The 24,028-nt window shown below is 38.4% G+C and overlaps 2 protein-coding genes across 23 annotated transcripts in view; one reads left to right on the forward strand and one right to left on the reverse strand.

Moving 5' to 3' along the window:
- ANKS1B (ankyrin repeat and sterile alpha motif domain containing 1B) overlaps positions 1-24,028 on the reverse strand; it is a 1,250,151-nt gene that overhangs the window by 893,414 nt on the left and 332,709 nt on the right. The gene's annotated exons all lie outside the window — the stretch shown is intronic.
- GARIN6 (golgi associated RAB2 interactor family member 6) lies at positions 19,554-21,915 on the forward strand. The gene is made up of 2 exons (NM_153364.4): positions 19,554-20,590; positions 21,089-21,915. Exons 1-2 carry the CDS (start codon positions 19,976-19,978, stop codon positions 21,197-21,199), a joined length of 726 nt encoding a protein of 241 aa, NP_699195.1. The 5' UTR covers positions 19,554-19,975; the 3' UTR covers positions 21,200-21,915.

Consider the following 24,028-nt stretch of genomic DNA (forward strand, 5'->3'; position numbering starts at 1 on the left):
AAAGGTGCAGTAAAAATACATCATTATAATCTTATGAGCCCACCATCATATACACAGCACTTCATTGACTGAAAGGTAATTAGGCAGTTCCTGACCACGTCTCATTTAGAAATTAGTTTCTAAAAATCCAGAGTGGTTCTACACCAATCCTAATCTGGTTTCTGTTTCTAAGAAATGTGTTTAAGTTAAACATCTAAAAAAAATTTCTGTGAAATTTTGAGCTTTGAGCTTAAAAGTCTGAAAACTTACACTCTGGATTCTGGTTACATGTGAAAAATACTTTTTAAATTATTGTCCACAGCATTGTTGCCTTTTTTCTAAGCTTTCGTTTTTCTGTACAGGATAAAACATTTTCTCATCTGAAAATATTTCCAAATAGACCCTTATTGCCTTAATCTGTTTTGTGTTGCTATTAGTATAACAGAATACTTCAGACTGGGTAATTTATTCAAAAATTAGAGATTTATTTGGCTCACAGTTCTGGAGGATGGGACATCCAAAGTCAAGGGGTCCCAATCTTGTGAGGGCCTTCTTGCTGTGTTATCCCATGGTGGAAAGCATCACAATGGTGAGAGAGCAAGAGCAGAGGGAGCCAAACTTACTTTGTATCAGGAATCCATTCCTGCAATAATAGCATTAATCCATTCATGAGGGCAGAGCCCTTGTAACCTAATCACCTCTTAATGGTCCCACCTCTTAATACTTAATGGGTAGGACATTCAAATATTAGTACATATTAATGTGGATCTTATTATCAGTATTAGGATTCTAATTTATTTATTTTGTAGACCTGAGGTCAGCCAACTTCAACAAAAATCCATCCTACCACTTGCTTTTATGAGATCTTATTGAAACACAGCTATGTCCGTTCATTTTCATATTATCTATGGCTCATGATACAATAGCAGAACTAAGCAATGTGACAGAGGCCATATAGCACTCAAAACCCAAAATAGTTACCATCTAACCTTTTACAGAGTTGCAGACCTTTGCCATAGACCATCCATTCACTCAGCAAGTATTTATTAAGAGCTTATAAGGGCAGGTGGCTGGTAGGTAGCTAGCATAGGTTGTTGGCTGAAAAACTGTAGCCTCATTAAACTAAGTTAAAAGTTAATTCATACTGAATTGTATTCTTCAATATAATTATCTTCACATACGAGAAAAAAACTTGAACAACTTTTCCTGTGGAAAAAAATGTACTAAGTGACTTGGAATGTAATATTACTAGGAGGTACTCTACTATTACTACTTACACTATTGAGTAACACTTATTGAGCATTTACTGTGTGCTCAACACTATTATAAACACTTAATATAAATAGTATATGTCATTATTCCTCACTACACCTCTAGGATGTAAGTGCTGTTACTATCCTCACTTTACAAATGGTGAAATTAAGACTCAAACCAATTAATTTCTGAGGTCACACAGCTTATATTTGTTAAAGCTGGGACTTTATAGAAGATGCTTTCATTCTTGGAGATATTAAAATAAGAGAGTGGATAACTTATTAAAAAGGTAAAATGGTGTACCTTTTTAAGGGGAGCAAAATATAAATAACTACCATTTACTGAGAGCCTACTATAGTTCTGTCATTATGCTATGTGCTTTAAAAACATTCTCTAATTTTTATATCAACCCTTCAAGGTAGGTATAAGTTCCCTCTTTTACAAGCAATGAAAAAATAATAGGTTATATGACTGACAAAAGGTACATACCTTGTAAGTTGCAAAACTAAGGTTAAAATTTAGATCTACCTGTCTTGTTCTAGAATACATGCTAAATTCTATTTTTTAAAAAATCCTAGGTGTATTTTTCTAATTCTTGAAACTGAACTGCACTTACAAATGAAAGCAACAGATGTTCAGCAGCTGAACAATGAAATATCAGATAGGACAAATAATGAAAATATAACCTACACAACTAAAATAGCAGAGAAAAATATAGAAATATGAAGCATATTTCTATATGTAAATACAGAATTTGTTCCTAATGGTAGCCAGGATTCAAATCAGAATAAGCTACAATAGAAATTTCTGAAGGCACTAAAATAATCTGAAATCTCATTAATTCATTCTCTAATAAAGCACTGATGCATTGACACTTAGCAGATATCTCTGTTGTAATCAGTTATCCCCGTTTCCATGGGAGAAGGGGACTGGTCAACCCATTTCCATATTTTTGCTGAAGAAACATCTAAAGATGTGAACAATACCCTTCTCTTAGATATGATTGAATAATAAAGAAAAAAAAAGAGGGGACTCTGGGCTTTAGGACCAAAGAGAAATAAGTTGGTATATTCACCTCTGCTGCTTCATAACTGTGTCACCACAACAAGCTAATTGACTTCTCTGTAACTGAGTTTTCTCATTTAAAAGGATGTTTATGAGAGATGCTGTAGAAAAGCATCAGGCATGCCCTCTTAAAACACATCTAAGGGAATTATTATTCTTTCAGTTGTAATCACTTTTCTCAAGGAAGATCTTTAAGAGAAAATATTTTCTCACTTATTCCCTTTCCTAGTGGGGAGTAACAGGAGCAAGACTCACTGTGTGATGCCCCGCGTTGCCTTGGGACTCTACAGCACGTCCTTACCAGCAAGAAGGCTCTCACCAGCTCTGGCCCCTTGACCTTTGATATGTTTGGCTGTCTCTCCACCCAAATCTCATCTTGAATTGTAGTTCCTACAATTCCCATGTGTCATGGGAGGGACCCAGTGGGAGGTAATTGAATCATGGGAGCGGGTCTTTCCCATGCTTTTCTCATGATAGTGAATAAGTCTCAAGAGAGCTGATGGCTTTATAAAGGGGAGTTCTCCTGTACATGCTCTCTTGCCTCATGTCTCATGTAAGACATGACTTTGCTCCTCATTCGCCCTCCACCTTGATTGTGAGGCCTCCCCAGCCATGTGGAACTATGAGTCAATTAAACCTCTCTCCTTTATAAATTACCCAGTCTCGGGTATGTCTTTATTAGCAGTGAGGGAACAAACTTATCCAATCTTGGACTTCTCAGCCTCCAGAACCATAAAATACAAATTTATTTTCTTTATAAATTCCCCAGTTTCAGGTATTCTGTTATAAGTAACAGAAAATGAATTAATACAGAAAATTGTTACCGAGAAGTGGAGTGTTGCTGATAATGAATAACTAAAATTGTGGAAGCAGCTTTGGAACTAGATAATGGGCAGAAGCTGGAAGAATTTGGAGGAGCAGGCTAGAAAAAGCCTAGATTCTGGTGAGGGTTTAGAAGACAAGACAACTAGGGAAAGTTTGGAAGTCCTTAGAGATTGGTTAAGTAGTCATGACCAGAGTGCTGATAGAAATATGCACAGTAAAGGCCATTTCGATGAGGTTTCAAATGTAACTGAGGAACAAGGGAGTGGAAACCAGAGCAAAGGTCATTCTTGTCATAAATGGGCAAAGAACTTGGCTGAACTATGTTAATGCTGAGGGCTTTGGGGAAGGCAAAAATCAACAGTGATGAACTAGAGTATGTGGCAGAAGAAATTTCTAAGTAAAACATAAAAGTTGCTGCATGGTTACTTTTGGCTGCTTACACTGAGAATTGAAAGCAAATAATAACTTAAAGAAAGAATTTATAATCAAGAGAGAAGGAGAATTGAAAGATTTGGAAAATGCTCAGCCTAACCACATAAAGAATGAAAAAATGTGTTCAGGAGAGGAAACCAAGGGTGTAGCCCAGTGACCACTTGCAAAAGAGATTACTACACACAAAAGGGAGCCAGGTGCTATTCCTCAAGAAAATGGAAGAAAGACCCAGAAAGCATTTCAGAAATCTTCAAGGCTCTCCCATCACAGGCTCAAAGGCTGAGGAGAGTAGAGTGGTTTCACGGGACAGGCCTGGGGTGCTCATTGCCCAGGTCCAACTTGTGACTTTGCTCCCCACACCCTTGCATGGTGCTCCATGGTTGCCCCAGCCATGGCTTAAGTGGTCCCAGGTGCAGATCATGCCACAGTTCCTGATGGTACAAGTCATAAACTATAGCAACATCCATATAATGTTAATTCTGTAGGCTTGCAGAAAACAAGAGCTGTGGAGGCTTGGCAGCCTCCACCCAGATTTCAAAGAATGTCATCAAAAGCCTGGGGTCTCAGGCACAGACTTGTTACAGGAAAGGAGTGACCACAGACAGCCCCTGCTAGAGCAAGAAAAAGTGGAAATGTGGGGTTGGAGCTGCTGCAGAGAATCCTCACTGCATAGGGCAGTACCTAGTGGAGCCATAGGAGCAAAACCACCACCAAAATGCCAGAACTATACAGCTGCCAGCATGCAATCCTAGTCGAGGAGAGCTGAAGCATGAGCTAAGCCCAGGAAAGCCACAAAGGCAGGGTTTTTCAAGGCCTTGGGGACTTAACCCCCACATCAGTTTGTGCAGAATGCTAGTCATGGAGTCAAAGGAGATTATTCCTCACCCTTAGATTTAATGTCTGCCCTCTTGGGTTTCAGACTTGTTTGGGGCCTGTTACTCCTTTCTTTTGGCCTGTGTCTTCCTTTTCTTTCTATATATATATATATATATATATATATATATATATATATATTTTAATTATACTTTAAGTTCTAGGGTACATGTGCACAATGTGCAGGTTTGTTACATATGTATACATGTGCCATGTTGGTGTCCTGCACCCAGTAACTCGTCATTTACATCAGGTATATCTCCTAATGCTATCCCTCCCCCCTCCCCCCACCCCACCACAGGCCCCAGTGTGTGATGTTCCCCTTCCTGTGTCCAAGTGTTCTCATTGTTCAACTTCCACCTATGAGTGAGAACATGCCATGTTTGGTTTTTGTCCTTGCAATAGTTTGCTGAGAATGATGGTTTCCAGCTTCATCCATGTCCCTACAAAGGACATGAACTCATCATTTTTTATGTCTGCATAGTATTCCATGGTGTATATGTGCCACATTTTCTTAATCCAGTCTATCATTGTTGGACATTTGGGTTGGTTCCAAGTCTTTGCTATTGTGAATAGTGCCGCAATAAACATACGTGTGCATGTGTCTGTACTACAAGGCTACAGTAACTAAAACAGCATGGTACTGGTACCAAAACAGAGATACAGACCAACGGAACAGAACAGAGCCCTCAGAAATAATACCACACATCTACAACTATCTGATCTTTGACAAGCCTGACAAAAACAAGAAATGGGGAAAGGATTCCCTATTTAATAAATGGTGCTGGGAAAACTGGCTAGCCATATATAGAAAGCTGAAACTGGATCCCTTCCTTACACCTTATACAAAAATTAATTCGAGATGGATTAAAGACTTAAATGTTAGACCTAAAACCATAAAAATCCTAGAAGAAAACCTAGGCAATACCATTCAGGACATAGGCATGGGCAAGGACTTCATGTCTAAAACACCAAAAGCAATGGCAATAAAAGCCAAAATTGACAAATGGGATCTAATTAAACTAAAGAGCTTCTGCACAGCAAAAGAAACTACCATCAGAGTGAACAGGCAACCTAAAGAATGGGAGAAAAATTTTGCAATCTACTCATCTGACAAAGGGCTAATATCTAGAATCTACAAAGAACTCAAACAAATTTACAAGAAAAAAACAACCCCATCAACAAGTGGGCGAAGGATATGAACAGACACTTCTCAAAAGAAGACATTTATGAAGCCAACAGACACTGTGTCTTCCTTTTCTAATGGAAATGTCTACCATATGCCTGTATAACACCACTGTATCTTGAATGTAGGTAGCTTGTTTTGATATCATGAGACTATGAATTTTGGACATTTGGGTTGGTGCTGGAACAAGTTAAGAATTTGGGGCTATGATGTGGAAGAAATGGATTTTTATGTGAGAAGGACATCAGTTTTGGAGGGCCAGAAGCAATATACTATGGTTTGAATATTTTCCCATTTCAAAACTCATGTTGAAATTTAATCTCCAATGTGGCAGTATTGAGAGAAGAGGCATTTAAGAGGTGTTGGGTCATGAGAACAGAGCCCTCATGAATGGATTAATACATTCATCAATTAATAGATGAATGAGTTAATGGATTAATGGGCTATCATGGGAGTGGGACTGGTGGCTTTATAAGAAGAGGAAGAGAGACCTGAGAGAGCACATTCAGCCCCCTCACCATGTGAGGCCCTGCACCACCTTGGGTCTCTACAGAGTTCTCAGAAGGCTCTCACCAGATGTAGCCCCTTGACCTTGGACTTCTCAACCTCAGAACTATAAAAAATATATTACTTTTCTTTATAAATTACCCAGTTTCAAGTGTTCTGATATAAACAACAGAAAATAGGCTAATATATCTATTTAATGCATAAAAAGAGACTTGAAAACAGAAATTTATACCATGTCCCTGAGTAAAATATTAAATGTTGTAAAATGCTAATTTTATCCTAAATAATCTCTAAATTTGCTATTCTTCCAATCAAAATCTCAACAGGTAAAATCTAAAACTGTAAAACTCTTAGAAGAAAGCAGAAAAGCTTTATGACATTGGATTTGGCAATGATTGCTGGGTTATAATAACACTAAAAGCACAAGCAACAAAAGTAAAAATTAGATAAATTGGACTACATCAACCTTTAAAACTGTGCGTCAAGGGGACACAATCAACAGAGTAAAAAGGCAATCTATGAAATGGGAGAAAATACTCTTAAATCACGTATATAAAGTGATTAATATCCAGAATATATAAGAAACTCCTACAACTCAACAAAATAACCCAGTTAAAAAATAGAAAAAAGACTTGAATAGACACTTTTCCAGAGAAGATATACAAATGGTCAACAAGCACATGAAAAGATGCCCAACATCACTAATCATTAGGGAAATGCAAATCAAAACCACAAAGAGATGTTACTTCACAACCATCAGGATGGCTACTATCAAAAAAGCTAAGTAAGTGTTGGCTAGGATGTGAAGAAATTGGAATCCTTGTGTATCATTGGTGGAAATTTAAAATGATGCAGCCACTATGGAAAACAGCACTGCAGTTCCTCTTAAAATTAGAAATAGAATTACCATAAGATCCAGCAACTTTACTGCTTGGTATGCATCCAAAAGAATTAAAAACAGAATCAAAGAGATATTTCCAAACCCATATTATAGAAGCATTTTTCACAACAGCCAAAAGGTGGAGGCAACCTAAGTGTTCACTGACAAATGAATGGATCAACAAAATATGGTATATACACACAATGGAATATTATTCAGCCTTAAAAAGAAAAATCGTGTCATATGCCACAACATAGATGAATCTTGAGAACATTATGCTAAGTGAAATAAGCCAGTCACAAAAAGATAAATATTGTATGATTCCACTTAGTTGAGGTATCTAGAGTAGTCAAATTCCTAGAAATAAAAAGTAGAATGGTGGTTGCCATTGACAGATAGGGGGAGGAATAAATAGAAAGTTTTGTTTAATGGGTACAGAGTTTCAGATTTCCATAATAAAAAAACTTTGGAGACTGATTAGACAATAACATGAATACAATTACCACTATTGAACTGTACACTTTAAAAATAGTTAATATGGAAAATTCTATGTTACGTGTATCTTCACAATTTTTTTTAAAGTTCAGTAGGGTAATTATGCAAATGTAACATTTAAAATCAATAGAGGAAGCTGGATTATTCGATAAATGATGCTAGGACAACTGATCATTAATTTGGGGGTAGGAAGGAACCATAGATAAATTATAAATCTGAAAATAAATAAAACTATACGAAGAAAATAAGGTAAAATATTTTATAATTGTGGGGCTGGTCAAGGTCAGCCTAAGCAAGATACAAAATCCAGAAGCTTTAAGTAAATACACAGATAGAACACTTCATAAAAATTAAAACTTTTACACCACAAAAAAAAGATAAATACCAAGAAACAGGCTGGAAAAATACTTTTAAAATATTTTTAACAGACAAAGTCTGTTAAATATATTTGATCTAGAATATACAGTCTAGAATATAGAATTCTGTTTGGTCTAGAATATACAGTCAATTCTTGCTTTCACAGTAATTTTATTCAATAAAGCCACCATGAACACCAAGTTAGTAAATACTAAATCATTGCTCCTAAGAGAATGCAGGTTTAGATTCCTGGAGCCTCTGGTCACAATATTTTTATCAACTGATCAATACAAAATCTTGTTTTGTATATGCTTCTGTTTAAAGACAACTTATTTAACATATATTGTTGATTTATTAACATTGAACTCACAGCCATGAGTTCCACAATATAACTCATACCTCAGTGAAGCTTATCTGACACATAGATTTTCTCCATAAGCTACATCACTAGTGTTTCTTATGCCTCTAGAAACACTAGAAAGTACTTCAGCACTACACTGGAGGCCATTTTAAACAGTGAAATGCCCAAGGAAAACCAGAAAATTTTTTTTAAAAAACTGGCACTAAATAGAATATGAAAAGGACACTTGTTTCTTGTTTACAGTATGAGAACTGAAACAAGAAGGCAGAGTGTTGTCTTGTTCAACCTCAACTGGGACTCAACTGGGAACATGTGCAATTTTCCACTGCTCTGTGCACGTCCATGAATGAGAAGAACCATGAAAACAAAGAACCATTTATGATTACAAATTTTAGCAAATAAGTGAATTTCCAAATATGGCATCCACTAGTAATAAGAATTTAATGTTTTAAAATACACTTCAAAATCAATTCTTTGAAAAATATAAGAAGTAAAAATAATTTGATTCACATGAGAAAAAATACAATTGCCTCAAAAATCTAAAGGGAAACAAAAGTTCCTTCTCACTAATAATCAGGAAAATGTGACTTCAGTCAACAGTGATGATGATGGCCGGGTGTGGTGGCTCACACCTGTAATCCTTGCACTTTGGGAGGCCAAGGTGGGTGGATCATTTGAGGTCAGGAGTTCAAGATCAGCCTGACCAACATAGTGAAACCCTGTCTCTACTAAAAATACAAAAAAGAAAATTAGCTGGGCATGTTGGCACATGCCTGTAGTCCCAGCTACTCAGGAGGCTGAGGCAGGAGAATCACTTTAACCTGGGAGGCGGAGTTTGCCAAGATCGTGCCACTGCACTCCAGCTTGGGCAGCAAAGTGAGACTCCATCTCAGAAAATAGTAATAATAATAATTGATACCTCTGATATGGTTTGGCTGTGTCCCCACCCAAATCTCATATTGGATTATAGTTCCCATAATCCCCATGTGTGATGGTTAATACTGAATGTCAACTCGATTGGATTGAAGGATGCAAAGTATTGATCCTGGGTGTGTCTGTGAGGGTGTTGCCAAAGGAGATTAACATTTGAGTCAGTGAGCTGGGAAAGGCAGACCCACCCTTAATCTGGGCAGGCGCAATCTAATCAGCTGCCAGTGCAGCTAGGATAAAAGCAGGCAGAAGAACGTGAAAAGAATATGCTGGCTTAGCCTCCCAGCCTACATTTTTCTTTCATGCTGGATGCTTCCTGCCCTCAAACATCAGACTTCAAGTTCTTCAGCTTTGGGATTCAGACTGGATTCCTTGCTCCTCAGCTTGCAGCCTATTGTGGGGCCTTGTGATCATGTGAGTTTAACACTCCTTAATAAACTCCCCTTTCTATATATATATAATATATATATAATATATATATACACACACATACACATACACGGAGAGAGAGAGAGAGACATAAAGAGAGAAAAAAAGAGAGAGAGATCCTGTTAGTTCTGTCCCTCTAGACAACCCTAATACACCATGTGTCATGGGAGGGACCTGGTGGGAGGTAATTAAATCACGGGGATGGTTACCCCCATCCTGCTTTTCTCTGACAGTGAGTGAGTTCTCATGAGATCTGATGGTTTATAAGGGTATTTTTCCCCCTTTGCTTGGCACTTCTTTCTCCTGCTGCCATGTGAAGAAGAACATATTTGTTTCCCTTTCTGCCACGAACTAATATAGTAAATTGGTAACACAGAGAGTGGGGGACTGCTATAAAGACACACGAAAATGTGAAAGCGACTTTGGAACTGGGTAACCGGCAGAGGTTGGAACAGTTTCGAGGGCCCAGAAGACAGGAAAATGTGGGAAAGTCTGCAACTTCCTAGAGACTTGAGGGCTCAGAAGACAGGAAGATATGGGGAAGTTTGGAGCTTCCTAGAGACTTGCTGAATGGCTTTGGTCAAAATGTTGATAGTGATGGACAATGAAGTCCAGGCTGAGGTGTCTCAGATGGAGATGAGGAACTTGTTGGGAACTGCAATAAAGGTGATTCTTGCTATGCTTTAGCAAAGAGACTGGTAGCATTTTGCTCCTGTCCTAGAGATTTGTAGAACTTTGAATGTGAGAGAGATGATTTAGGGTATCTGGTGGAAGAAATTTCTAAGCAGCAAAGCATTCAAGAGGAAAGAGAGCATAAAAGTTTAGAATATTTGCAGCCTGACAATGTGGTAGAAGAGAAAAACCCATTTTCTGGGGAGAAATCAAGTGACTGCAGAAATTCACATAAGTCACAAGGAACCAAATGTTAATCACCAAGACAATGGGGAAAATGTCTTCAGGGCATGTCAGAGACATTCACAGCAGCCCCTCCAATCACAGGTCCTGAGACCTAGGAGGGAAAATACGGTTTCCTGAGCTGGGTCCAGGGTCCCCCGTGCTGCCTCACAACTTGGCGCCCTGCATCCCAGCCACTCCAGCCCTGGTCTAAAAGGTGCCAAGGTACAGCTCGGGCCATATCTTCAGAGGGTGCAAGCCCCAAGCCTTGGTGGCTTCCATGTGGTGTTGGTCCTGCAGGTCCAACAGAAGACAAGAATTGAGGTTTGGGAACCTTTGCCTAGATTTCAGAGGATGCATGGAAATGCCTGGATGTCCAGGCAGAAGTTTGCTCTAGGGGCAGAGTCCTCATGGAGAACCTCTGATAGGGCAGTGTGAAAGGGAAATGTGGGGTTGGAGCCCCCAAACAGAGTCCCCACTGGGGGACTACCTAGTAGAGATTGTTTTAGAACTTAAAGGTTTAATGACTACCCTATTGGATTTCAGACTTGCACGGGGCCTGTAGCCCCTTTGTTTTGGCCAATTTCTCCCTTTTGAAACAGGTGTATTTACCCAGTATCTGTATCCCCATTGTATACAGGAAGTAACTAACTTGCTTTTGATTTTACAGGCTCATAAGCAGAAGAAACTTGCCTTGTCTCAGGTAAGACTTTGGACTGTGGACTTTTGAGTAAATGCTGAAATGAGTTAAGACTTTGGGGGACTGCTGGAAAGGCATAATTGATTTGAAATGTGAGAACATGATATTTGGGAGGTACCAGGGGTGGAATGATATGGTTTGCTTGTGTCCCCACCAAAATCTCATCGTGGATTTTAGTTCCCACAACCCCCACGTCATGGGAGGGACCCAGTTGGAGGCAATTGGATCAGGGACAGTTACCCCCATCCTGCTGTTCTCATAATAGTGAATGAGTTCTCACGAGATCTGATGGTTTTAAAAGGGGCATTTCCCCCTTTGCTCGGCACTTCTTTCTCCTGCCGCCATATGAAGGATGTGTTTGCTTCCCTTCAATCTTGATTGTAAGTTTCCTGAGGCATCCCCAGCCCAGCAGAGCTGTGAGTCAATTGAACCTCTTTCCTTTATAAATTACCCAGTCTTGGGCAGTTCTTCATAGCAGAGTGATAACTTACTAGAACAACCTCTTAACAAAAATGGTCAGATAGGCTGGGCATGGTGGCTCACATCTGTAATCCCAGCACTTTGGTAGGCCAAGGTGGGCGGACTACCTGAGGTCAGCAGTTCAAGACCAGCCTGGCCAACACAGTGAAACCCCATCTCTACTGAAAATACAAAAATTAGCCAGGAGTGGTGGTGAGCACCTATCATCCCAGCTACTTGGGAGGCCGAGGCAGGCGAATTACTTGAACCCGGGAGGCAGAGGTTGCAGTGAGCCAAGATTGTGCCACTGCACTCCAGCCTGGGTGAGAGAGCAAAACTCCATCTCAAAATAAATAAATAACTTAATTAATTAAAATAAAATAAAATTAGACAAAAACGATCATACAAACAATTCATCCCACACTGTCTTCAGCTGTCCGTACTTCATCCTCCTTGTAGAGCAATTTTGATGATTCAAGACAAGTGAATCAAAAATACCTAAAATGATGTTGCTATGGTTTGAGTGTCCCCCCACAAAACTCATTTTGAAATTTAACTGCTATTTTAATAATATTAAAAGGTGAGACTATTAAAAGATAATTAGACCATGAGGACTTTGCCCTCATGAATGGATAAATGTCATTATTCTTGGAGTGTGTTTGCTATGAAAGGATGAGTTCAACCGTCTCTCATTCTCTTGACCTCTCTTACCCTCTCACCTTCTGCCTTGGGATGATGTAGGAAGAAAGCCCTTGACAGATGCCAGCACCCTGATATTAGACTTCCCAGCCTTCGAAACTGTGAGAAGTAAATTTCTTTTCTTTATAAATTATCCAGTCGGTGGTATTCTGTTACAGCAGCACAAAATGGACTAAGACAGGTATGGATTGAAATGAAAAATGAACGGATGAGTGGGTAGGTAGATGGATGGATGAATGGATCAATGGATAAATTGGTTGAATGAGTAATGAATGGACAGATGCAAGCAATAACTTGCAAACTATTCTACAGGAACTCATGGTGCCATAAGGAGTCATTACGACTTTTTACAACTTATGGCATTTATTTTTTCAGAAAATATAAAATCTTTATTAGAAAAATTAGATCTGCTTGTCATAAATAATTCAAACAATGTTTAAGTATATAAAGCAGGAAGTTAAAGTCTCCCTTGAATCTTAAGCCTTAGAAATAACCACTATAGCTGTATACTATACATACTTCCAGATTTTCTGAGCACATACAAATTAACATTGCACATATTAGAATGCACTTATTATATGAAGTTGTTTTATACTATACATACTGCCAATCCTACCAAAACTGACAGAGTGATGTCTCTGAAGGCCACAAACAAAACAATTTTTAAAAATGTGCGTTTGTATTGTAAATAATTTATAGAGAATCTTGCATTTATATTGAAAGAGCTTCATAACAATCCTACAAACAAACAGGAACTAGCGTCCTCATTTTAAAGAAGCAGCAGCAGAGGGTGAGTTACTTGCCCAAGATTTTATGGCCAACAAATAATAGTCAGGCCAATTACTTTAACTAAATTATAAAGTTTCTCAGAGCAGAAACCACACATAATTCCAGTTTTGTATCATTTACAGTACCTGGCACAAAATTATAAACAGGTATGAGGAGGGTATGATGTTTATATTGCTTACTGCTCTATGCCACACATATAACAAATGGTCAATAAACATCTGTGAAACAAATGGATGGAAAGATGTATAAAAGAAGAGGAAATGGGAAGAGATTCTAAATGAACTAAGATACTTATCAAACCATCATTTTTTCAATTTGGACAATAATAAATACGTTTAGCAGCTCATCCACTCCGTAAGCATAATACAACATGATAACCAATATCATTGATATCAATATCAAAATGATATCAATTGAATATACTCTAGATAAGAGTGACATCAACAATTACTGATTTCCTCTTTAACAGTGAAATGCCATAGTAAAAAATATTGAACAGTAGACACTATACACCCTTATTGTTGCTAAAAGAAGCTATTCCGTCTATTTTTTTAATTTTATATCAAATATTCACATGGAATTTGGCTCAAACACAATAGATATGCAAACTATAAAAGTATAAATAGTCCATAGGGACTATGGGAAAGTATAAATAGTCCATAGAATTACTGTGAAATATAAGTGAGACAAGGAACGTTAAGTGCTTATCACTGCACTTGGAATGTGGTAGGTACTCAATAAGTGTTAGATATCATTATTAACATCACTATTAACATCATCATCATAAGGCTTTCCTAAAATGATTAAAAAATTGAGGCTTTCCAAAGGCAAAATTATAGTTCATTTATTTTAAAAGTTATAAAAATAACTGCACAAAACAATAAAAATCTAGATCACACAAATGCTTGACAGGAAAGCTGAAATGCATTTTTCTGTAAAATAAATATATGTCCCATCTTCTGCCTAGATGCAGACTACAGGCATATTCTCCTTGAGTGCATCTATGAGAGATGAAATGTCTACTGACCTAATTTCTGTAGCTATTGTATCTGTTTCTTACAGCCACTGTAACAAACCGCCACAAACTTAGTATTATAGCTTAAAATAACAAAATATGTTTTCTGACAGTTATTGGGATCAAAAGTTTAAAAGACATTTCACAGGGCTAAAATTAAGGTGTTAGCAGGGCTGGTTACTTCTGGAGGCTCTAAAAGAGAATCTAGGGGGCATGGTGGCTTATGTCTGTAATTCCAGCACTTTGGGAGGCCGAGGCAGGTGAATCACCTGAGGTCAGGAGTTCAAGACAAGACAGGCCAACATGGTGAAACCCCATCTCTACTAAAAATACAAAAAATTAGCTGGGCGTGGTGATGCATGCCTGTAATCCCAGCTACTCAGGAGGCTGAGGCAGGAGAACTGCTTGAACCCAGGAGGCAGAGGTTGCAGTGAGCCAGGATGGCAACAGAGCAAGACAACATCTCAAATAAGTAAATTTATAAATAAATAAAAATAAAAGAGAATCTGTTCCCTGCCTTTTTCAACTTCAAGGGGCCACCTGTATTCCTTGGCTCATAGCCTCTTCCTCCATCTTCAAAGCTAGCAATGTAACATCTTCAAATCTCTGCTTTCCTCATCATATCACACTATAAGTACCTTCATAATTACATTGGGCACACATTGATAATCCAGGATAATCCCCCCCCATCATAAGATCCTTTAGTTAACAATATATGTCCCTTTTGTCATATACAGTAACATATTCATAGGCTCTACATACTAGAATTTAGACATTTGGGGAGGAGCATTATGCTGTCTTTATCACAGTACATCCTCTGGACACCAAATAATCACATTCTTCCACATATAAAATCCATTCATGCCATCTCAACGTCCCATAAATCTTAACCCATTACACAACATCAACTTAAACTCAAAATCTCAAAAACTCAAAAGTCCCAAATTTCCTCATATAAATCAAGCATGAGTCAGACGCATCTGTGAATCTGTGAAACTGGAATAAAAAGTTATTCGCTCCTAAAATTCAATGATATGACAAGTGTAGCGAAACAATTATAGATATCCCCAACCAAAGAGAGAGAAATGAAAAATAAAAAGTGAGTCAACAGTCCGAAGCAATTCAGAACTGCAACTGGGCAAACTCCATTAGGTTTCAAGCCCTGGGAATAATCCTTTGGAGTTCTCAGCTCTACCCTCTCGGGCCTCAGTCCCATCCTCTGAGTCCTCCTTTCTATTCCATAAAGGTTAACTTATGTTTGCAAACTCAGTAGTTTCATAAGCCTATTTCCTGCCTGCAGAATTTCAGGAATCCAACAGCCTTCTTTCATTTTATCCTCTGTCCCTTTAAGTCCAAGCTACCAAAGTCTCCGCTAATAAACCATTCATGAAAACACTGTGGGTCTCCCAGGTATGTCACAAGAATTTCCTGGATAATCCCAACTCTGAATCCCATCTCAGCGTAATTCATCTCATCATAATTCAGATCTGCTCAATCTCTTCAAAGAGCCCTCTGTGTGGTTGAATAATCTCAGTTTTTGATCCTCCTGAGGCACTAGAAACAAGTTATCTAGCCATGCTTTCAGCTTTCTCTCTAAGTACACTTCTTGACAGTGAATCTAAAAATTTCAGTGTTTTTTGCAATCTGGATAGATTGAGAATGTTCCAACCATCAAGTCCTGGTTTCTTTGAGTTTAAATGTTCTTCTCACAATTTATCTCTTTCCTCCTCCCACATTTCAGTATAGGCAACAAGAGGAAACCAGGCCATACCTCCAACACTTTATCTAGAAATCTACTCAGCAAAATATCCAAGTTCATCACCTACTAGATCTGCTTTGCACATAACCATAGAATATAATTCCTCTAGACTATCTGCTATTATATAGCAAGTATCTCCTTTCCTCCAGTTTTCAATAACATGTTTCCTATTTATTTCTGAGTCCTTATCAGAAGCACCTTTAACATTCATATGTTTATTAACATTCTCTCTACAATGATTTAGGTATTCTCTAAGATCATACAAGTTCTCTCTACCATTTCCCCCGCTTTCTTCTGAACCCTCACAGTAGTGACTTTAACATCCTCGTTTGTATAAACATTATGTTTATGACAATTAGGTAATCTCTAAGAAAATACAGGTTTTCTCTACCATATCACTTCTTTCTGAGCCCTTATTAGCGGCATCTTTAATGTCCATATTTCTGTTCAAGGCAATCTAAGCTCTTTACATCATGCTCCTCAAAATTCTTCTAGCTTCTACCCAGTGCCCAATTCCAAAGCCATTTCTATATTTTTATGCACCTGTTACAGCAGCACTCCACTTCCAGGTACCAAAATGTGGAATAGTTTCCTAGGGCTACCATTACAAATTACCACAAACTTAGTTGCTTATAACAACACAAATTTATTCTCTCATAGTTCTCAAGGTCAAAGTCTAAAATGATTCTCTCTGGGCTAAAGTTAAGGTATTGGCAGGGCTATCTCCTTCTGGAGGCTCACAGGGAGAATCCACTTCCTGTTTTTTCAGCTTCCAGAGGCCTCTTGCATTCCTTTGGTCCATGGCTGCACCACTCTGACCTCTACTTCCATCATCACATATCTTCTGACTCTGACCCTGCTGCCTTTCTCTTACAAAGACCACTGTGATTACACCGGACCCCCAACGTAATCCAGATAACACCCCCAATTCAGATCCTAAACTGAATCACATCTGCAAAGTTCCTCTGCCACATAAGGTAATATATTCACAGGTTGTGAAGATTATAATGTAAATATCTTTTGGGGGAATTATTCTGTAAACCACAGCCATGTTCATTATTAACTGATTTCTGTTTAAAATACTTAACCCATATTTTCAATTACATAGTTTTAAGCACTAACACCGCTGATTGCCTATCTTACTGAACTAATATCTTGCCATTTCCTCATTTCAAACGTTGGTTCTTTTAAAAGTTTTGGGAAGACGAAATTTAGCAAGAGAATAAAATCATATATTGAATTAAACAATTCCCAGAGCAGTTATACGAATAATATCTCGATTCATTGTTATGGTTCAGAGTATCTCCAAAGTATGTAGTAGTTTTGTTGTTGGGAGAGAGGGGGAAAGCTAAAGCCCTATCACAAAACCGTAACTATTCTGGAGTTGAAAGATAGCTCAGGGGTCATCTCCATTTCAAGGCTGAGAAAAATAAGGCCCAGAGAGGTTAAATTATTAACCCAATGACATAAACTCCAACAGAGAGGAGAGAGTATATAAATTTATTTTAATATATCTAGTGACTAACTATATAGAAATCTGATTTAACAGCAACCACACAGAAAGCTGCTGCATTTTCATAAAAGGAATTTCTTAATCTCAAGTTCAGGTAGTTTTTTATTTAGCTATCTGAGCTTCTCAAGTCTTGAGGCAAATGCTAAAAAGGTAGTTTTCTAAACAGCTAGAGGAATTTCAGACAAACCCCATCAAATTCATAAAAATAGGTATTTGCCAGAATGCTACATAGGATGGTTATCAAGCCAAATGAAAGAGGTTCCACCGTTGTCAGTCTACTGACTGGTGTGGAAAATCCAAACATCTATAGGCTCTATAAGTAATGTAGTTTCTGGCTTCCTTGGAGACCAGCGCTCTAATGGAACTCTAAGACAAATATCTTGTCATATATGTGTATAGCAAAAAAGTACTTTTAAGAAAATCAGTAAAAAAAAAAAAAAAAGGCACTTAAATTAAATTTTGCTGTGTCCAATACTACCAATCCTGTTATCCCTTATGAAAAACATCAGAACCACTTGGACACTTTTAAAACGTTATTTTACTAAATGTGTATTTGGTTTCTTGGTTTTGCCAATTACAAGATAAGTAACATAGACTTGAAGTGGAAGTTAAGATATAAAGACTTTAGGAAGGGCAGTAAAAAGTGCTATTGATATGTGAATAGGCATCTCAATAAATAAAATAAAAATACTCCAAGTATCCAAAATAATCAAACATTTCAATATGAAAGGAAGAAATTATGTTTGCATTGACTTATGCAACTAAAGACTCAAGTGGGCTGGGCACGGTGGCTCACACCTGTAATCCCAGCACTTGGGGGGCCAAGGCGGGCGAATCACGAGGTCAGGAGTTCGAGACCAGCCTGAGCAATATGGTGAAACCCCATCTCTACTAAAAATACAAATTAGCCGGGCGTGGTGGCACACGCCTGTAGTCCCAGCTACTAGGAAAGCTGATGCAGGAGAATCACTTGAACCCAGGAGGCGGAGGTTGCAGTGAGCCAAGATCACGCCACTGATTCCAGCCCGGGTGACAGAGTGAGACTCCATCTCAAAAAAAAAAAAAAAAAAAAAAAAAAAGACTCAACTATGGCTATGGCTCTGTGTGTGTGTGTGTGTTTGTGTTCACATGGGTTATCATGTGTACTGTCATTTCAATAAAGATATTATAATCTTATTGAATTGAAAATATTTGCAATACCTAGCAAAATTCTTTACAGCTTTTTTTTTTCTCAATACAATCTGATGGTAAAGAATAGAGCATAAATGTGATGTTTAAGGCTCTTTTCATTCCATAGCCAGGGTATGAATGTCTAGGTAAAACTCAAAAATTGCATCAACAGTTTGAGGGTGAGTCAAAACATAAAATTTATCATGGCTATAGAAACAGAAAAAAAAAAATACATTGCCAATAAAATAGTTATTTCCCCTGGTAACAGAAATAAATTTCCTAATAAAAATAGAAGTTAAAAAGAAAATGAAAATTATACCTAAGCACTTTAAACATTTCACTGAACATAATTCCATATCCACAAACACATACACGTGGTCTTACATAAATTGAATCTCACCTATACTATGAGTTTGAAATCAGTTTTTCTCTTATTCTTTAAGAAAAAAAAAGGTCAGGGATATCTTTTCATGTCAATAAATAGGAAAACTACGTAATCATTTTTAGGGCTGCAGACTGTCCCGTCACAGAAGCTCCATAATTTATTTAAGCAATCCCCTATTGTAAGACACTAATGCTGTTTATAATTTTTTACTCTACAACAAACATTGATAAACATCCTGTACCAATCTGTTTACCAATTTATCCAATTCTCTCTTTAAAATAAATGTCTACAACTAGAGGAGCTGGATAAATGAGTATACAGAGAATGTATATTAAACTCTTGCCTTGCACAGAAAATTTACCTCTAACCCTTTTGAAAGCAATTTGCCAGAATGCATTAAGGTCCCTAGATGGTAGGTTGGTGGCGGGGTAGTGGTCTGCTGAGCTGTGGAGGGCGGTGGGGCTGAGGGTGGGGTGGAGAGGGCGGTGCCCCTGCTCTGAGGCAGGGACTACTGGGTGACAGAGACAAAGGGGTGTGTGATGGGGCAGGTCACAATGGGTAGGGGAGGATAAAAGTGGTCCTGCGGGGTGGTTTAGCAGCAGTGGATGGTTCAGGTTGGGAAGAAGAGCAGTGGGATTGCCAGTTAAGGTTGTGGAATCAAAGAGCAAAGGCTGTTGTGAAGTGGAATATCAGGCTCAAATGGAGGTCCCTCCCGAATGAGCACTGACACCTGTGTGCCCGGACATCCACGAGGGCCCCAACACCTGTGCTCCTGACAGCTCCATGCACTAAGCAGGGCACAGTCTGGATCCAGGGGACTGACTGTCTCTGGCATTGAGCGGTTGGTAATCAATACCCCACCCTCCCTGTTCTCAGTCACTTGGGGACAAAAAAGAAAGCCTGCAGAACACGACTGCTGGCCCACCTGCCAGAGTAGCCAAGGAAACAGGATGCCCGCTAAAGCATGTTAAGGAAGGTGTGGAGCAGCTGCTGGGAACTGTCTTGATTTAAAGGAAGACATGGAGGACTGCTGTATGCTACCGTATTACACGGCCCAAAGCAGCCCCGCAATGGGCATGTTTAACACCTCCATGGGGAAGCTGCAGCGGCAACTGTACAAAGGCGAGTATACTATATTCAGGTATGCACCCATGTTTGAGAGCGACTTTATCCAGATCAGCAAAAGAGGAGAAGTGATTGACGTGCACAACCGTGCCCGAATGGTAACAATGGGCATCGTTCGCACCAGCCCCTGCCTCACACTACCTGATGTCATGCTGCTGGCCCGACCAGCTGCTGTCTGTGACAATGCCAGGTGTGGTCCTGCCACCCAGAAAAGAGAAAGTCCGCCTGCAGAGATCTTAGAACTAACCAGGCTGCTTCCCTTGATGTTTGTGAAAATAACCATCCACAACAGCGTAAAAAAACAGCTCCACCTGAAGCTTGCCACGGGCCGCTCTTTTTATCTTCAGCTGTGTCCTCCATCGGATGCAAGTGAAGACCTTTTTGTTCACTGGGAAAACCTTGTTTACATCCTGAGACCACCAGTGGAGGCTTACAGTGATACCAGGGCTATCCTAGCTGGGAACACATTGGACTCATCTGTGTTGGAGGAAGTGCAGAGGAGCCCAGTGGTGAGTCTATGCAGAGACTAGATGGGGCCTGGATGCTTTGGGGGAGAGCAGGTACAGGTCCTGTAAAGCCTTTGGTGCTGCAGCTCACCTGGGAAATGCATTGCATTTGGAAGGTCTGAAGGCCAAATGAGCTTCCATTTGGAGGCCATGGTACATTGAGGAGGTTCCTAGTGCTTCTCCAGGGTTCTCCAAGCCTGAATTTCAGAGATTTCTTAGCTGTCAGCAACTCTTCATTTTATATCCACAGCTGTTCATTTTATATCAATGTTGTAATGCTGTCCAAAGCATCCTGACCAGTCTATTCTGAAACACATACTATGACCTAGGCAGGCTGATATGTTGTAGGACGTGTCTCCCTGCAATTGCCACTTATATACATTGGTGGCAACACAACATGTTTGTGTACTTGTGCAATAATTTCTTTTTGTTGTTTACCTATAGGAAGAGAAAGGAGATCTTGCTGGTCTCACTGTCTTTGCTTATTTGTTCTCTCCCTAGGGATATGCCATGAAGTTTTGTGAAGAGAAGGAGCAATTCAGAATCAGTAGACTTCACATGAATGCTGAAATGTTTGGGTCCACCTATTGTGATTATACAATAGAGATATGAATCCAACATACCTCCCACATATACTACGTTCAAGAGTTCACACACCCCTGCAGTCATAAAACCTATAGTGCCTGATGAAGGGGCAGGGTAGCAACAGCAGTAGTGATGACAGTAAGCACCACCACAGGTACCATGGATGTGGCTGCAACCAAGTCTGCAGACTCAGGAGAGAAACACAGCACTGGCAAAAGCAGCCTTCAGAGGTCCAGGAGGAAGTATAGCCAGCATGGCTATTAGTGGGTGCTTCCATGTCTTAATCTTGTTATAGCAAGGGCTGCATGCACATTCTTGTCCTAAAAGGGTACTTCAAGCATATCAGTAAGTGCTACTGGCCTCTCCCTAGAGAGCAGTATGAATGTGGTGGCTACAGGAGCAGAGAGATACTGAGAAGGCTGTTGCATTGACAGTATCTCTCTGCTACTCAAAGGCTGACTCTCTGCTACTCAGCATTGGGAGTCAGTTATCTCAACTCTGCAGGATGAGGCCACATGCGTGAATGGGATGGAAGCCAGAGGGTCTCTACCTAGCTGGATTGACTCTGCAGTAATAACCTCAAAGCCCAGTACTACACATGGTGCAGAGGTGGACATCTCACCTAAGACTGTGGAGGGGAACAATGTGATTCACCATAATAAAATCCATCAACTCAAATTATCTGCTCTAATAACATATGCTCTATTGACAGGAAGGGTAGCAATAAAACTAATGGCAATTTATGATCAGGCTCTGAAAACTATCTTTAACTTTCCCTTAACTTTATATTTTTTAAATAAATTAATAGATGACAGAATAAAATGTTGAAGATTACTCTCAGATATGATCCTACATTAGGAGAATTATTCTAAAACTGTTTTCCAAAATATAAAATGAGAACCCAGGAATACACACACACAGACTCTCTCTCTCTCTCCTCTCTCTCTCCAGGTTTGAATCACAGCATTGCCACACATTAACTGTGAGTTTCAGTAGATTGTTTCTTTAAATGGTCACCTTGAGACCATACATGTATAATATCTGGAACATAGTAGGCACTGTGTAAATGGTAGTGTTGAGAAACAAATTCTGAGTTTAATCATACTTTCCAGAAAGGGCTTAATTTTCCCAGTCTCTTCATTCTTGATTTCCTTTCTTAAATCTTAATTAACTGCTTTGCAATTGTCCCATAAAAGCTCTATTTACAGTAAATCTTCTCAGTATCTTCCAAGAATTTTAATCCCCTGACGCTATTTAGAATTCTAAATTTTCATGAATTTGTAGAAATTTCAATCTAGTTACAATGGAAAGATAATTGCAAAGCACTCATCTTTTACCTGGTTCTCTCCAATTTTAGTATTCTTGGAGATAGAAAAATAAAATGTAATATAGGATCAATTCATAATCTGGACAAAAACTGGAAATTAGATCATTTTAGAATTGTAAGATCCACATCCATGGGATTAGCCAATATTCTAATTTTGCAAGTAAAAAGTCTGCTCGAGTCTAAAGTAATACATCACATGGTTTGAGAACCAGAATGTATAGGTAACCTGGCCCCCAATTATGTCTGTATTGTTTCCATAACACTCATGATTCTGACAAGCACTGTGCTTTGAATATAAAAGATATTTGATACATGTTTGCTGGATCCAATTAAGGGCTATAAATGTGAAATATAATTTATTCCAATCAAACAAATCTGGGGATATAAAATTTTACATAGTACTGTACTAATTGTACAGATCCCAAAGGCCCCTGTATATATTGTAAGGAAGCAGTTTACCAGTAGACCCTCACAGCGCTTACGACTTAATGATTTTTAATGGCCTCCAAAAGTGCTTCAGACCTGAAAAAAATGGTTTCAAAATATGAAAAACATTTCACAGGTTAGATGTTCTAGCTTTGCGAATTTCAAGGTTACATTACTGAGAAATCACATCTAACCATAAATCACTTTTCAGCAAATAATTTCAAATGAAAAAATTTAAAAATAAAACAATTTTTGTTTTTCATGTGGTACGTAGCCCAGTATCATATGATACTGGAGACCCCCTAAGAAGCTTTAAAATGACCATATTGCAAACTCTTAACAGAGACCAACTTTATCTTTATATTCAAGGACTGTCAGCATGCTTACCACATTGTAGTCCCTTGATAATCATAGAAGGGATCATTGTTAAAAGCACTGCACATTTTGTATTTTTTCTCTAAATCTTAATCTGACTCAATCTCTTTTTAAATTGTATATTCCTTTGGTAAATATTTCAATCTGCTTCTGATTACAAATCCTGATGCTTATTACTATCAGATCCTGTTCCTAGGTCACAGTTTTCTTAAAATTCTAAAACAATACATATCCTGTTACCTCATCTCTTGTAATCAAAGTTTAAGAGATAATTTAGATAATAGATACTGATAATAACAGAAAAAGATTTAAAAATTACCATTTGTGAATGGTTGAGAATGGTTGAATCCTAGGTAATAAACTAAAAAACCAGATGAATTAAAAAATGTTGCAAATTGTGTATGTGTGTATGTGTATATACTATATATATGTACAAATATACTATATATACACAAAAATATGCTATACATATTATATTTTTAATTGCAAAACTTCAAAAATTCTTTAATATATTTTGCAATGAAAATGTATATATATAAACATGTTATATATACATAAAACATGTTTACATGTGTATATATATATATACACACACATATACACACACAAATATAAATGCTAAAGGATAGCCCTTAAACAATAATATTCACAGACACACACACACACACATTCTTAAGAATTTATAGTGAGAGGCTGGGTGCAGTGGCTCACGCCTGTAATACCAGCAC

The sequence above is a fragment of the Homo sapiens genome, chromosome 12, assembly GCF_000001405.40.
Source record: "Homo sapiens chromosome 12, GRCh38.p14 Primary Assembly".
Classification (NCBI taxonomy): Eukaryota; Metazoa; Chordata; class Mammalia; order Primates; family Hominidae; genus Homo; species Homo sapiens.